At 54.0% G+C, this 15,583-nt stretch overlaps 1 long non-coding RNA gene across 1 annotated transcript, besides 3 other annotated features; it reads right to left on the reverse strand.

Moving 5' to 3' along the window:
• LOC105373059 (uncharacterized) lies at window positions 1–14,890 on the reverse strand. Its single transcript, XR_938300.2, has 3 exons — window positions 14,692–14,890; window positions 7,133–7,279; window positions 1–3,444 (listed from the first exon to the last, which is right to left on the reverse strand). It is a non-coding gene; the product is annotated as an uncharacterized LOC105373059 (long non-coding RNA).
• Window positions 8,808–9,362: an enhancer, noted in NCBI's record as "H3K4me1 hESC enhancer chr22:44939408-44939962 (GRCh37/hg19 assembly coordinates)". NCBI's record gives its function as "activates a minimal SCP1, AML or CMV promoter by ChIP-STARR-seq in naive H9 embryonic stem cells {active_cell/tissue: H9 hESC(naive)}" and the evidence as "EXISTENCE:reporter gene assay evidence [ECO:0000049][PMID:30033119]".
• Window positions 9,363–9,917: an enhancer, noted in NCBI's record as "H3K4me1 hESC enhancer chr22:44939963-44940517 (GRCh37/hg19 assembly coordinates)". NCBI's record gives its function as "activates a minimal SCP1, AML or CMV promoter by ChIP-STARR-seq in naive H9 embryonic stem cells {active_cell/tissue: H9 hESC(naive)}" and the evidence as "EXISTENCE:reporter gene assay evidence [ECO:0000049][PMID:30033119]".
• Window positions 10,473–11,026: an enhancer, noted in NCBI's record as "H3K4me1 hESC enhancer chr22:44941073-44941626 (GRCh37/hg19 assembly coordinates)". NCBI's record gives its function as "activates a minimal SCP1, AML or CMV promoter by ChIP-STARR-seq in primed H9 embryonic stem cells {active_cell/tissue: H9 hESC(primed)}" and the evidence as "EXISTENCE:reporter gene assay evidence [ECO:0000049][PMID:30033119]".
• Window positions 14,891–15,583: the final 693 nt, after the last annotated feature.

Here is a 15,583-nt window from a genome sequence, read left to right on the forward strand (position 1 = left end):
TTACATACAAATACATGTTTATTATATACAAATGCAAATACATGTTTATTATATATTAACGTATAATTAAGTTTTTTTTAACTTGGGGCAACGAATATTTATGGTTCATTCAAAGGAGGGTTTCTTTTTTTTTTTTTTTCCTTTTGAGATGGAGTCTCGCTCTGTCACCCAGGCTGGAGTGCAGTGGCGTGATCTTGGCTCACTGCAGCCTCCGCCTCCGGGTTCAGACAATTCTCCTGCCTCAGCCTCCAGAGTAGCTGGGATTACAGGCACCCGCCACCACACCCAGCTAATTTTTGTATTTTTAGTAGAGATGGGGTTTCACCATGTTGGCCAGGCTGGTCTCGAACTCCTGACCTCAGGTGATCCACCTGCCTCAGCCTCCAAAAGTGCTGGGATTACAGGCATGAGCCACTGCACCCGACCCAAAGGAGGTTTTTGAAAAGGTGTGCCATGCATCCTGGCTTCAGCTAGTGCAGGAACAGGTCCTAATCCGTTCCACCCTGGCAGTTTTGCTGAGAAGGGACTCTGATCCAGGTACTTCTCTAGGCTCATGGGACACATCAGTGAACAAACAAGTAGGAGTCCCTGTCCCTGGGGAACTTATCTTCCTGCAGGGAGAGAAAGATGGTAAAGCATGAAGGAAGTAGACAGGTTCAGTTCTTACAGTGCTGGAAGGAGGTAAGAACAGACAAGGCAGGTGGGGAGCACCCAGGGTGGAGTGTCCTACCCCACGGTGGTCAGGGAGGCCTGGGGAAGGGAAGGCCTGCGGGCACCTGGAGGGAGAGCTCCTCAGGCAGAGTCAAGGCTCTTGGGGATGTGGGGGCTGTGTGCCTGGCAAGGTCAAGGGCACAAACAAGGAAGCTGGCATCGGGCCTGGAGAGGAGGCGGTGAGCAGCTCACGGAGGGTCACTTATGGCCATTGGCTCTCACTCTGAGTGAGATGCCTCCAGGTATTGTGCAGAGGAGAGAACTGACCAGCCTCATTTTACAGGGACATTTGGGCCGCTGCGCTGCAAGCATCAAGGGCAGCAGCAGGGACGCCCCCGTGGTCCCTCCATCGGCTCCAGGGGAGACGCGGGGACATGCCAGCCATAGCAGTGGGCTGCAGAGAGGCACCGCCGTACCTGCATCAGCTCTGCTGGTGGAAGTTTCGGGGTCCCCCATGGGTCTTGTGTGGGGAAATGAGAGAAAGTGGAGGGCAGTAGCCAGCTTCATCCCACCAGCACCTAACCAGCCCGCACCCTCACTCTATCGCCACCATTGCCTGGGGCGGTGGGTTTGCCATCCCCTACTGTGACCATGGCATGGTGGTGGCCATCTGGCCTTTGGAAACAGCAGCTTTCCTAGCACATCTTAAAGAGTCTACATCCCACCCTCGGCTTTTGGGGAATCTCATGTCCAGACACGGCCATAAGGTGGCCCTGGCCTTTGCCACAGTGACAAGGTTGGGCACTGCATCCAGGTCATTCACCAGGACCCCCGCAGGAAGCTCCACTTGAGGCCACAGTCTTACATCCAGGCTGGGAAAAGCTCTGCCTCTCCTGAGAAGCCCCCACGATCTTTTCTTCTCTCCAGGACCAAGAACCTGCCCCCACGGCCCGTTCTTGGAGCCAGGCTTGACCATCTTCCCAGCAGCTCTGTTCAGCGTGATGTATTCCCTTTGTGTCGGTACCTCTTGATTCCAAGAATCAGACTTACACAAAGTTGAGGGGCTTATTTTCAGGATAATGCAGAAGTTTGGGAAAGCCTAAGAATGGCTCAGAGCAGAGCTGCTGGGCTGGAGGCTTCCTGGGGTTTCCACTCCGTGCCTCTGGCTTCATTCTCTCTACCCCATCCATCCCCGTGCAGGAGAAACAGTTTCTCTCCGGGTGACAGGCTCTGTGACTCAGTCGCCCTGGCACTTGATTTCTGTGTCTCAGCCCAGACCTGAATAGGTCATCTCTGTCCAAGGGCAGGAGGTGGCAGGACCTGGGCAGTACCCAAAGAACATCAGGTGGAAAGGGGCAGGCCTGGGGCAAGGATGCAGCCCCTGCACTGTGCAACAGTAGGCATCCCCTGCCTCTTCTTTCCTGTACTTAACTTTTCTGTTCTTATTCTGTGAACCACTTTATTTTTTATGTATTTATTTGTTTGAGACAGAATCTCACTCTTTCTCCCAGGCTGGAGTGCCGTGGTGCAATCTCGGCTCACTGCAACCTCCACCTCCCAGGTTCAAGTGATTCTCCTGCCCCAGCCTCCCAAGTAGCTGGGATTACAGGCAAGTGCCACCACGCCGGGCTAATTTTTGCATTTTTAGTAGAGATGGGGTTTCACCGTATTGGCCAGGCTGGTCTTGAACTCCTGACCCCAAGCGATCCACCCACCTCAGCCTCCCAAAGTGCTGGATTACAGGCATGAGCCACCACACCCAGCTAGCATTTTAAACAAGCCTATTTTGGAAACATCTATGAAACAGCAATGGTATTTTATCTCATGATCTCATTGTATCTTCAATAGAGTCCAACAATGGAGGCACTGCATGCTCCCATCGTGCAGATGAGGAAACAGGCTCAGAGGGGTGAGGTGACTTGTCCAAGGACACACAGCTACAAAGTGATACAAAGGATTCATACCCAGTCCTTTCTGACTCCAAAAGCTGTGTGGGGGTTTTTTTCCCCATATCAAGACAAACTTGTTCTTAAGGCTGATTCCAACCCTCTCTGAAATGTGGGGAAGAGTACAAATGCATCCGATAAATAAACAAAAGCATTAGGATGTCTGCCCTCATAACGCCCAGCTGTCTGGGGTCGAGCTTAGGAAGAACCGGACGCTTCAGTTCTCCCGCAGGGCATGAGCTCCCGTCTCAGCAAAATGCCTCAAATGTCAAAACCTGACTTTAATTAGCAGAAATCTCTGGGTGTATGTGGTGCCAGGATCCATCTAGGATGCAAAGAGGCAACAGCTGTTTATTAGCTCAACAGCCAGAGGCGGGCGCAGGGAGGGTTCCTCCAATAGCCCTGGAGCCCGCCCACTCCTCCAGGGGATGTGGGGAGGTAGCGAAGCCCCTGGCATTGCCTGCTCCAGGCGATGGAATCCCTGGCAGCAACATCACCTGTTTCTGGGGTGGGACATCCTGGGGCCCAAGATGCTAGAGATTCCTGGGGCTGGCAGGGGAGCCTGTGGCTGAGGAACTACCACCGACACCTGTGCCCACAGTCACTGGACTCAAAGTTGGAGAAGGTTTTATCCATGTCCTTCTTGGAGGCCTTTTTGAAGGACCTAATTATCCCAAACCTGGTCCGGTCGGTACCTTGATTGACCCGCTAAAACCTAAGTCTTGTTAAAAGCATCTGACAGCCGCTTGTCACCCAGAAGCCGCCAGCGTCTGAGCAGGGAGCCGAAAACGCTCTTTTTCAATGCCAATGAGAAGGTCGTCAGCAGCGGGACTGGAAACCTGTTTGCCTGTTAAGAATTTGCATTCATGCTGTTATTTCCTCAAGCTGCTCTCCACTGCAGAGAGCGGGAGATAAAAAAGCCTAAAGAGATGAGAGCACTCTCCGATGAGTCACACGGCGTTAACCTTAACTAACATTTGCACAGTGCTTTCGGCACACGGGCACTGCTTACAACGCTGCACGCGCATTCCTCTTCCAATTCTCTCAACGGCTCTGTGTGGCAAACAGTGTTGCTGTCATCCCCAATTACATATGGGACACTGAGGCATGGAGATAAGTCAGGTGTCCAGGGCTGTACATCTAGCAAGTGGCAGAGCAGGGATTTGAACGCTGGCAGCCAGACCTGGAGCCCAAATGTCAGCCAGGACGTGCCTCAGTCACCTTTGCACCTGCCCTCATTTTCACCACCTGAGTCCCTACCCTCCTGTGCACCAGGCCGACCTTCTCAGCCTCATGACTCAGCTCGACCCTGATATCTTCCCGGAGGCTTCTGGGCACTCCGGGTGATTGGCACTCCCTACATTGCAAATGCAGCAGTGGAGGCTCAGAGAGGCTAAGTCACTTTCTCAGGGTCACACAGCCAGGAAGTGGCAGGGCCGGGATTCAAGTCCCAGGATGCCTGATCTGTGAGCTCAGACACTTAACCAGTGCTCTGAGATGGCTCAGGCAAGTCTGGAGCCCCCCTCATCTGACAGCAATGCCCCTGCTTTCTCCCAAAGTGCTGAGATTACAGTCATGAGCCACTGTGCCTGGCCCATCATTTCTAACCTGAACTGGCCCACACAGAGGGCTTGCGTGAAGGGTCAGCATCGAACCCCAGGCAGATCCTGGCCTTTCCAGGTCCAGCTGTCAGAGCTGCCTCCAACCCTGCAGCCTGACCCCAGGCCAGCCTAGGTTTGGCCCTGCTCACTCCTCCAGCCTCATGGACCCAGCACACCTGGCCCAACTTGACTCAACTCCCTGTACCTCTTGCCCTGGCCTGGCTTCCCTGCCCTGGCTTGGGCTGACCTCTCTCCCCTGCCTAAAGCCCTTTCTCTCACCCCTTGCCTGGAGTCCTCCTTCAGATCTAACTAGATTCATCTCAGATGTCCTCTCCTGAATCTACCATGCCCCTGGGCACTGCCTCTGGGCTCTCAGCCCCTGCCCTTCTTCCCTCCTCCAGCATCAAGGCCAACAAAGGTTGAGGAAAGTCAATACCAAGTCCTAGGGCTTGAGGTCTGCAAGGGGTCAAGGCCAGGGACTAGGTTTAACTTTGCTTAGCATCCTTGGAGTATGGCACAGAGCAGACACAAGTATTTGAGGGACAGGTGGGTAGTTAGGTGGGTGGGTGGACGGGTGGATGGATGGATGGATGGATAGATGGATGGGTAGGTGGATGGTGGATGGATGAATGGGTAGGTGGATGGATGGATAAGTTAATGAATGTATGGGTAGGTGGATGGATGGATGAGTAGGTGGATGGATGGATGGATAGGTGGGTGGATGGGTGGGTGAGTGGATGGATGGATGGATGGATGGATGGATGGATGGATGGATGGGTAGGTGAATGGGTCAGTGGATGGATGGATGGATGATGGATAGGTGAATGGGTCAGTGGATGGATGGATGGGTAGGTGGATGGATCTATGGGTAGGTGGATGGATCTATGGGTAGGTGGATGGGTGGGTGGGTAGATGGATGGCCAGATGGGTGGATGACTGGGTAGATGGATAGGTGAGTGGATGGATGGATGGATGGATAGATGGATGGGTAGGTGGACGGTGGATGGATGAATGGGTAGGTGGATGGATGGATAAGTTAATGAATGGATGGGTAGGTGGACGGATGGACGGGTAGGTGGATGGATGGATAGGTGGGTGGATGGATGGGTGAGTGGATGGGTGGGTGAGTGGGTGGATGGATGGATGGATGGATGAATGGGTCGGTGGATGGACGGATGGGTAGGTGGATGGATCTATGGGTAGGTGGATGGGTGGGTGGGTGGATGGGTGGGTGGGTAGATGGATGGATGGATGGGTGGACGAGTGGGTAGGTAGATAGGTGAGTGAATGGATGGATGGATAGATGGATGAATGGTGGATGGGAGGATTGGTGAGTGAATTGATGGTTGGGCATATGGATGGATGAATGGATAGAAGGAAGGAGTGGAACTGACGTCCTGTGCTTTAATATGATGGATCAGTTTTGTTTCTTCTATAGCAAGAAAACCCCCAAGCCCCACCCTGCCGCACCCTCCCCCAACAATGTTAGGAGCCTTTTCTGGGCTCCCTCTCCCCTTCCTGAACTCCCTTGTGCCACAGCCCTGAGCACATTGTGTGGTCACCCTCTGGGTCTGCATTTATGTCCACCCCCTGACCATGAGAGCCTGAGGGTCAGCTCCGTGTATACAGTGCCCCGCACAGGGCCTGGCATATAGCCCCTTGAGTGGCAGGACTCATACTCAAGTGGCAGGTGCTGGAGAGGCAGATGACTATGACACATTGGCACCTGCACCACTCACTCTGCACAGGGCTCTTCCAGGAAGGCCAGCATGGCCTCCACCAAATACACTGGCATTGGCAAGAGCCTCTCTGGCCTGGGACCACATAGGAGCAGCAACCAGGGACGGCATCCCTCACATTTATGGTGGAGCTGTTTATGTAGAAATAAAGGCAGAAGGCTAGAGCCAAGCCAGCCAAGCCAACTGGGGTCAGGAGGGATCCTCCTAGGAGGGAAGCCTGGCCCACCTGGGCCCCAGGTCTACAGGGTAACCAGCTAGGTGGGAGTGACAGTGGGGACATGGGACTCAGCCTCTTGTTCTGCCCCTTAAGGGATGCTGCAAGGTGATGCCGCAAGACATGAACTCAAGGACTGACAGCCCCAGGTTCAATGCTGACTCTGCCACTGGATGGCTGTGTGCCCTTGAGCCTGTCCCTTGCCTCCGGGGTCTAAGTTCCCACATGGGTGCTGTGAGAATGGGTGGGTTACAGTGGTCATTACTGTGCGGTGTGTTGCAACGAGCCATTCAGTTGCGTCACCTCACTCCTACTCCTTCCTCCCTCCCCAGCTTCTCCCCTACCCTGCTGTCTGCTCCTGGCTTCCCCGCTGTTTCTCAAACTTGCCAAGCAGGCTGCCCACTTAGGGTCTTTGGGTCTTTGCACTAGTACTCCTGTAGATGAGCACTGCCAGCCCTCACTTGCCGGGTCTCTGTTTGATGCCATCCCCATGGAGAGAGCACCCTCATCCCCATGGGAAACTCCCCAGGGCAGCTGGGGTCATGTCTCTCATTCACACGGTGTTTTGGCAGCACCAGGAGTGAGGGAGTATCTGCTTGGAGGAACTGGGAAAGGTTCACAAAGAAGGTGGCATTTCTGGGTTTTGAAGGATGAGTAGGAGTTGGCCTGATCAAGAAGAAAGGCCTCACGATTCCAGCATCAGAACAAGTATTGGTTAATAGAGTGCAGAATGGAAACACTGACTGAGAAGCAGGGAAAGAAGTGATGGTAAAGAAGAGGGGGCGGTGTTGACGCCAGGGTCCCAGGGGAGTTTTTCCAGCATATTTTCAGCTGAGGGCGTAGGGTTTCCTGGGAGCCTTGCAGGCACAGGAGTTATGAGAGCCATAGGGCTGCTTGTGTCCCCACCCAAGATCTGCCCAGGCCTCAGCACACAGTCAGTGCTCACAGACAGTGCACCCGTACCCATGCAGGCTGATGTACCTGGAGGAGCCAAGATTCTGGGTGTCCCGAGCAGTGGCTTCATCAGCCAGAGCTAAGGGGGTCCAGCCCCACCAGGATGGCCTCTTGCAGTCAGTCCAGAAACACCAACCATCAGAGTAGCAGCCTCAGAGGGAAATTTCACAAAACCTATGCCAGATACAAGAGCACTTTGTTAGCCTCAAATCCTTGGTGGTCAAGAACATGTGCAGAGGTTCGAGTGCTTCACTTTGCAGAAAGGACGAACTCCCACCACTGGGGCCCATGAGGGAGATGTGGGGGAGACACCGGCTGGCGCGCTCACGGCAGACCTTAAGAATGGTTGGCGGCCAGGTGCAGTGGCTCACGCCTGTAATCCCAGCACTTTGGGAAGGCGAGGCGGGTGGATCACCTGAGGTCAGGAGTTCAAGACCAGCCTGGCCAACATGATAAAATCCCATCTCTACTAAAAATACAAAAATTAGCTGGGCATGGTGGTGGGCACCTGTAATCCCAGTTACTTGGGAGGCTGAGGCAGGAGAATCACTTGAACTTGGGAGGCAGAGGTTGCGGTGAGCTGAGATCGCGCCATTGCACTCCAGCCTGGGCCACAAGAGCGAAACTCCATCTCAAAAAAAAAAAAAAAAAGAATGATCGGCAAGCAAGGGAGCAGTTGTTCTCAGTGTATGGGGAGATGGAGCCTGGCAGGCTCTGCTCTACCTCTCCTTGTCATGGCTCTCAGGCAGGGGCATCAGTGTCAGCCCCTCACCTCTCTTTGGCATCTGGCCAGGAGGAGCCTCAGCCTCCTGCTCCATGCCAGGCTCCTGTGTCTGTGCCCTGCACCTGTTCATTTCAGCTCTGCCCACAGTGATGTGCCTCCGCTCTGGCTCTGGCTCTGCTCCAGAACCTTCTCAGGCTCAGCCTTAACCCCAGCCAGATGCATCAGAGCCTTTAAGGTTGGCCCCTGCTCTGAGCCTGAACAGACGGGGGCAGAACCCACGTGGGCATGAAGTGGGAGGCTGAGCTCCACCGCTCTGAGCAGCCCCTTCCCCCTTCCCTGTGTGTGACTGCCGGGCTCCTGGGTCCCAGCTCCCTGGCCAGCAGTGCGGGCTGCAGAGGAAGACTGATCTGGGTTCGACTTATCATCCTGTTGCCTCGCAGCCACGTGGCCTTGGGCAAGTCACTTCACCTTTAGGAGCCTCGGTTTACTCATCTGTGAAATGGGCATCACAGAGCCTCCTTCAAGGCATTGCTCTCCAGATTAAAGGGGAAGCTATATAGTCCCTGCACATGAGCATCCCTCGCTTCTGGCTGCCAGTTTCCGCAGCATTCCCTGGCCGGGGAGCAGCCATCCCTGCCCTCTCAGACTCTCCCTCTGCCCACCTGGACCCCACGTGGGCATCCACTCAGCATCTCACATTCCCCACGGCCCAGGAACATCACCAAGTCAGGCGGGGCTGAGAGAATGGCTCATAGCAAAAGCAGAACGTGGAGAAAATCAGATGCTTTTCTTAAGGGGAGCTTTCTAATGAACGTTCTTATTTTACTCTTTAAAGCTTTCAAATAAACAATAAATATAACTCCATTCAAAACACAAATTAACTTCTATGTTATAATATTAGGCAGGCTCCCACACTCTGCCCCTGCCTCTGAAGTTGTCGTTTTCATTCATTTCTCTTTGCATCTTCCGAAAGTGTTTCTTTATGCAAATATAGCAAATCTATGTTCTTACTCAGAGTGTAGCGCTTTGAGTGGCTGTTTTCACTTAGGGGCATAGTCTTATTGACAAATGGCAGTCTTTAAGTTTCTTCTGCTCCACACTTTATCCAGTCAGCCCCCTATTGATCGACTTAGGGGCTATTTCTATTTTTTGCTACTGTAAGTCATGCTTTGTGAATTTCCTCGCCTGGACGCTCTTGTCCGGAGGGGTGCTCGGCGGGGGCGGGCGGGGGGCGGGGCAGGGGTTTCTATAGGACAGATTCCTGCAAGTGGGGCTGGCGGGTCAAAGTGTAGGTGCACCAGGTAGTTGCAGCAGAAATCGCCAGGTTCCCTTCCTGAGAGGATCAGCACGTTCCACTCTGCCGGCTGCTGTGCATGCGGGGGCCTCTTCCCCTGCCTCATCCAGAGGGCGAGGCCACATTTATCTGCAGCACGTTTATACTCAACCATCAGGATTCCAGAGCCGGCCTGGGCTGGGCCAAGCGTGCACCCTGGGGACAGCGTGGCTCTCAATTTCAGAGCAGCTCTGTGGATCCACGGAGCCCAGGCTCCATTTCTGCCTCAGCCTGGCCTGACCCCATAGCCAGCCCCACCCCTGAGGCGGCGCCACACAGAGAAGCTGTCACTACTCATCCCTGCCTCAGTCAGCCTCAGTCCTGCACTGCCTACCCGCCCCCTCCACTGTCCCCACACCCCACCCAGTCCACCTGCCCGAAAGCCTCCTGGCCCTTGACTTCCTGACACCTTCTTAGTTTGCACAGAGAGGTTAAGTAACTTGTCCAGGGCTGCACAGCTGAGAAGCAGAGCCTGGAGGGGACAGTGGCAGCCTGACTCCAGGGTCCCTGCTCTCACTCAGGACACCCTCTTACCTCTGCATCATCAGCATTGCTCAGCATTGTGTCATTTGAGAGGCCTGGGGCCATCTGTTAGGAAGTGGGGGCAGGTGGGGACAGGAAAGGGTTCAGGATCAAGGTAGTGATGAGGGGAGTAAGCCCAGCACACCCAAGGGGCTTAAAGCCACCGGGGTACCTCACAATCCAGGAAGAAGCAGGGAGAACGCTTGAGGCTGGGGCATCGGGGAGGTGAGCCCTGTCCAGCCTGGATGCCCTCCGCTGAGCTCTGCTGACACCACCCCACGCTCAGCATGCACTGGCCTCTCCTCTTTCCCAGGTGAAATTTCACTCATCTTTATAACCCAGCTGAAACATCCCCTCCTCCAGGGGCTCCCCCTAGCCCCATGTCCTGCTGATACCTGAGCACACAGGTTCCAGCTCCTCTACGTGCCCCAGGCTCGTCAAGGGCAGAGCCTGGGCCTGACCTGCCCCTCTGTCCCCAGTGTGTCCAGCCCAGACTAGATCCAAGCAGGTGGCACAGAGGGACACTCACTCAATGGGGCTCCCTCCACATGTGCTAGGGGCTGAAGTGGGCAGAGCAGGGGAGACAGTGAGGACATCGGGGAGGATGTGGGACTTCGGCACAGTGACCCACAAAATGTGGACCACGGCTAGGCAGAGCAGGTGCCTCTGAACCACACAGCCACTCAGACCAGCTCTTCCCAGCTCAAGCCCACCCTGGCTCGACAGGGTGCCATTGCCTCCCACAGCCCAGCATGGGCACCTCAGCCCATCTCCACCCAGCTCACCCGGGCCCAGGTGCCAGCCCTAAGCTCCCTGCCGGGGATCCATAGCAAGAAGGGAGAGCTTCGGGCAGCCTGCAGCAGGGGATGCATGTGGCCTGGAGTGACACTTACCTGAGTTCAGATCCCACCTCCCTCGCTGTGACTGAGCGCAGGCCCCAAGGAAAGGCCAGCAAGAGGCCTAGAAACAGTATATGCAAATCAGCTACACCTGGCCCAGGTATCCCGCACGTGTTGTTTGCTCGTGGTCTCAGGTGCATGGGATCTGCTGCTGCTGGTTGTTGGTGGGGGCCCGGCCCAGCTCTCCACCTTGACCCTGGTCACCCTCAAGCCTGGGCTCAGGACTTCTCCCTGAGCTGTGCTCACTCTGGGTGCAGGGTATTGAGGGAAGAGCATGGGATTTGCCTTCAGGACCTGCAGTTTGGGTTCCAGCTCCCCCTTTAGCAGCCAGGTGACCTTGGGTGGGACTCTGAGTCTCAGTTTCCCCTTACCTGTGAAATGGGACTGATAGGATTTACCTAATCTGAGGTTTGATGTGATAAGTTGAGCACACCCTTGGCTCAGGCTCTGCTGACATTTGCCATTATTATTGGGACTGAACCGGCCTCACCCTTAGCCCAGGTTGGGTTCTCACTGAACCCCCAATCCTGCCCTGATTCTCTGGGGCTAGTAAGGGTGGAACTAGAAGGGGGACTTGGCCTGGGAGACATTCCTGAGAAAATGCCCCCAGGGAGCCTGGGTTTCCTTGGCTGGAGAGGCAGGGGGAGGAGAGGAAAGGGCACGCACTCATGAGCCCCTGATAAAGCATACCCTGTGTCAGGCGCCGGGGAAACAGATCGACCCTCACCTCTCGGCATCCCAGCAAGTCAGTGGGTCTTGTGTCCCCATTTGACGACTGAGAAGACAGAAGCCCAGAGCGGTGATCAGTTGCTAAAGGTCAGCTCCAGGCTGCCTTTCCTCCACACTTTGTGATCTTGGGCAAATTCCCTCACTTCTCTGAGCGTTGAGATCCTCATCTGTAAACAGGGGTGCTACCACCTAATTTCCAGGGTACTCAGGTCACTCAGACCTCGCCCATTAGACACGGAGCTACCCAAGGGCAGGCCATGTCTTTTTCTTTTTCTTTTGTTATTGAGACGGAATCTCAATCTGTCGCCCAGGCTGGAGTGCAGTGGCATGATCTCGGCTCACTGCAACCTCCGCCTCCCAGGTTCAAATGATTCTCCTGCCTCAGCCTACCAAGTAGCTGGGATGACAGGTGCCCACCACCACACCTGGCTAATTTTTGTATTTTTAGTAGAGACAGGGTTTCACCAGATTGGCCAGGCTGGTCTCAAACTCCTGACCTCAGGTGATCTGCCCACCTCAGCCTCCCAAAGTGCTGGGATTACAGGCAGGAGCTGCCGTGCCCAGCTTGTCTTTTTCAACTCTGAAGTCCAGTCCGGGGTCACTCTCAGGCATGTGGATCGCTCTGCATGCCTGGGATCCATTCTGTGAACTACAGATCCATGTCACTCCCTTCTTAATCCCTGTCAACAGCTCCATAGGACTCCAGGGCTGAGTCCAAACTCATAGTCCTGATATTCAAAGCTCTCCAGGACCCAGCCTCTGCTTAGATCTGCAGTCCCATGTCCTGTCCTGCTCACACTCATGCCCTGTGCCCTTGCAACCTTCAAGAGCTTGGCCCCTGCTTGTCCCTGCCAGGGATGTTTTTCAGTCACCTCCTACACCTGGTGAACTCCTACTCAACCTTTAGAACCCAGCTTGGACATACCCTTTCCTGCATGCCCGACCTGGCTGTCCTTCCCAACCTGGACTCCCATGCCCCCTTGTTGCTCTCTGTCCGCCTGTTGCTTTCTAGCTGTCTGGACGTCGGTCCCCACCTCACACTGAGATAGCTCAGGATTGTTCCTGTCTCATGTCTGTGGCCCAGGGCCTGGGCCACCTGCCCTCAGCATTCATTAAGCTCCATAAACATGAAAGAAGTGACCGGGCTCAGGCCCTTGGCTGAGAAGCCGAGAAGACTCAAGGCTGCCTCGATCTCTGCTCCCTGAAAGCGCCGGCCTCCCTGGGCTCCTCTTCGGGCCCTGGCCTAGCAAAGGCAGCTCATGAGGAAACAGCCGGGGGCCCCTCTGCCCTGGCAGCTGTGAGGCTGAATAACGTATCAGCCTTTTCCTGGGCACGTGGGTAAAATATTTCAATGGAGACGAGATTGTTCATCAAAGTTGGCATCACGCAGAGTTTTGCTTTGCTCAGGGCACCAAGAGAGTTGGCCTTTCTTAAAAATAGAGGTATCAGTATCGGCTCTCCATCCAGCCCAAGAGGTTGGTTTCAAATGCAAATCCCATCCTTGTACCTCCCGCAGGCCCCGGAAACCCTTCAGTTCCGTTGTCCAGGTCAGGGGTAAAGCCCAAGCTCCTGCTGCTGCCTGCCATGGGTGGTGGGTAACTGCGCCTGCAGGACCCAGCCCTGCCTGGCTCCCAGGCCCCTGCCCTCCCTGAGGAAGTGACATTTGATCTGAGACAAGCAGAATTTTTTTCCTTTTTTTTTTTGAGATGAAACCTTGCTCTGTCACCCAGGCTGGAGTGCAGTGGGGTGATCTCGGTTCACTGCAACCTCTGCCTCCTGGGTTCAAGTGATTCTCCTGCCTCAGCCTCCCAAGCAGCTGGGATTACAGGCACCACCATGCCTAGCTACGTTTTGTATTTTTAGTAGAGACGGAGTTTCACCATGTTGGCCAGGCTGGTCTCGAACTCCTGACTCATCCACCCGCCTCCACCTCCCAAAGTGCTGGGATTACAGGCGTAAGCCACTGCATCCCACCAGAGATAAGCAGAACTTAATCCCCAGAAAAGGGAAAGGAAGAACATTCCAAGCAGAGGGGAGAGAATGGGCAAGGGCCCTGAGGCGGACAAAACCATTCACTGGAAGCATCGCTCATCTTCCCAGGTCCGAGGAAGACTCTGACCCGCAGCCCCCCTTGCACTAAGGTAGGGCCATGTTCCTGAGCTCTGCCCAATGGGATAGGGTGGTCTGCACAGCCAGGCCATGCCCAGCTCTCTCCTCCTCCTCCTCCTCACTGGAGAACATGAAAGTGGCCTGGCTGGGTCCCTGAGTCACTGTATGGAGGACACCACCCAGGAGAGTTACCGGCTTGTGTTAAACCTTTCGTGAGAAAGCAAGCAACTGTGGCCGGGTGTGGTGGCTCACCCTATAATCCCAGCACTTTGGGAGGCTGAGGCGGGCAGATCACCTGAGGTCGGGAGTTGGAGACCAGCCTGACCAACATGGAGAAACCCCGTGTCTACTAAAAATACAAAATTAGCTGGGCGTGGTGGTGCATGCCTGTAATCTCAGCTATTCGGGAGGCTGAGGCAGGAGAATCGCTTGAACCTGGGAGGCGGAGGTTGCAGTGAGCCGAGATCTCACCATTGCATTCCAGCCTGGGTGACAAGAGCAAAACTCCATGTCAAAAAAATAAAATAAAATAAATTGCAAAATGTCTCTTTAACAACTCATCTAGAGTCCATGTTGTACCAATATTTTGGATATATTGAGTTAAATAAAATGTATTATTAAAATACTTTTACCTATTTCTTTTCTAAACGTGGCTGCTAGAAAACTTTAGCCACAAACTCTGTATGTGGCTCAAATTCCATGTCTATTATAGTGCTGGTCTAATCCACCCACTTTATTTTACAGATGGGAAAAGTAAAACACAGAGAGGTTAATGAACTTGGTCAAGGTCACACAGAGGCGTGAGAGTTTGGAGTTCTCTGTGAAGCTGAGCTGCTTCACAGGTTTACAGAAAAAATCTGAAGTTCCACTCATGGCAAAGAAAACTTCTGAGCGGTAGGCCTCTCTTGCTGGGATTGAAAGCAACTGAGGCTGAGCGATCTGCAGGTGTCTGCCTGAGAACAAGGGTGGCTTCTCCCACCAACGGGCTTCTTAGAGAAAGGAGAAACACAGAGGTGGTCAGCAGTGAGGACCATGGGCCTCAAGGCAGTGAGAGCCCGGCTCGGGCCCCAGGCCGTAACTCATATCTGAGGATCACAGAGACAGGAGGGAGCAGACGTTGACCCTCTCCTTCCCCACCTTCACTCCCCACAGCAGTAAATTAGAGATCAGGTGGCGACTTGCCGAGTTGATGCAAGAATGCAGTGTGATGTCTGTTACCGACCAGGTCAGAACCCAGCTCAAACTGACTTAAGGAAAAAGTGCAACTTACTGGCTCCTAAAATGCAGAGGGCCCTGGATTGACCAGCTTCAGGCATGGCTTGACCCAGATTCTCTTGTGATGCCAACAGGGTCTCCCCTTCCTTCACCCTGACAGGGTCAGGAGAATCGCTTGAACCCAGGAGCAGAGGTTGCCGAGAGCCGAGATAGTACCACTGCACTCCACCCTGGGTGACAGGGTGAAACTCAGGCTGAAAAAGAAAAGAAAAAGAATCAATCATCAGTGTTCACATCGCAATGACTATGAAAATGCTATTCACAGCTGATCGCAGAGTACACTATGCTATGTACACTTCCTTAAACAACATTTTGTCTTTCTGAAGTTAATATTCTTTGCTTTGTTTTGTTCTTAGCTTGTTCCCAAGTTCCTGTTACCAAACTCCCTATCAATTGTCTACCCCTCGAAGCATTCCCTTCTCGAAGCTCTCCCCTGGGGCCCCCAGCAGGCTCAGGCTCTCGCCAGACTGTGGTCCACAGTGCCTCGGTGCAAGCTGGTGCCCCAGATGCTCCTTCTCCTCTTTCCTGAGTGGGAGTGTCTGTGTCCATTGTCCTATATCCATTGTCATACAAGCCCATACAAAGTGTTTGCTATATTGCAAAACTCGAAATATCTTTTTTTTTTTTTTGAGAAGGAGTATCGCTCTGTTGCCAGGCTGGAGTGCAATGGAACAATCTTGGCTCACTGCAGTCTCTGCCTCCCAGGTTCAAGCGATTCTCCTGCCTCAGCCTCCCGAGTAGCTGGGACTACAAGAGCACAACACCACGCCCAGCTAATTTTTTTTTTTTTTTTTTTTTTGAGACAGCGTATCACTCTGTCGCCCAGGCTAGAGTGCAGTGGCGTAATCTTGGCTCACTGCAACCTCTGCCTCCCGGGTTCACGCCAT

The sequence above is a fragment of the Homo sapiens genome, chromosome 22, assembly GCF_000001405.40.
Source record: "Homo sapiens chromosome 22, GRCh38.p14 Primary Assembly".
NCBI lineage: Eukaryota > Metazoa > Chordata > Mammalia > Primates > Hominidae > Homo > Homo sapiens.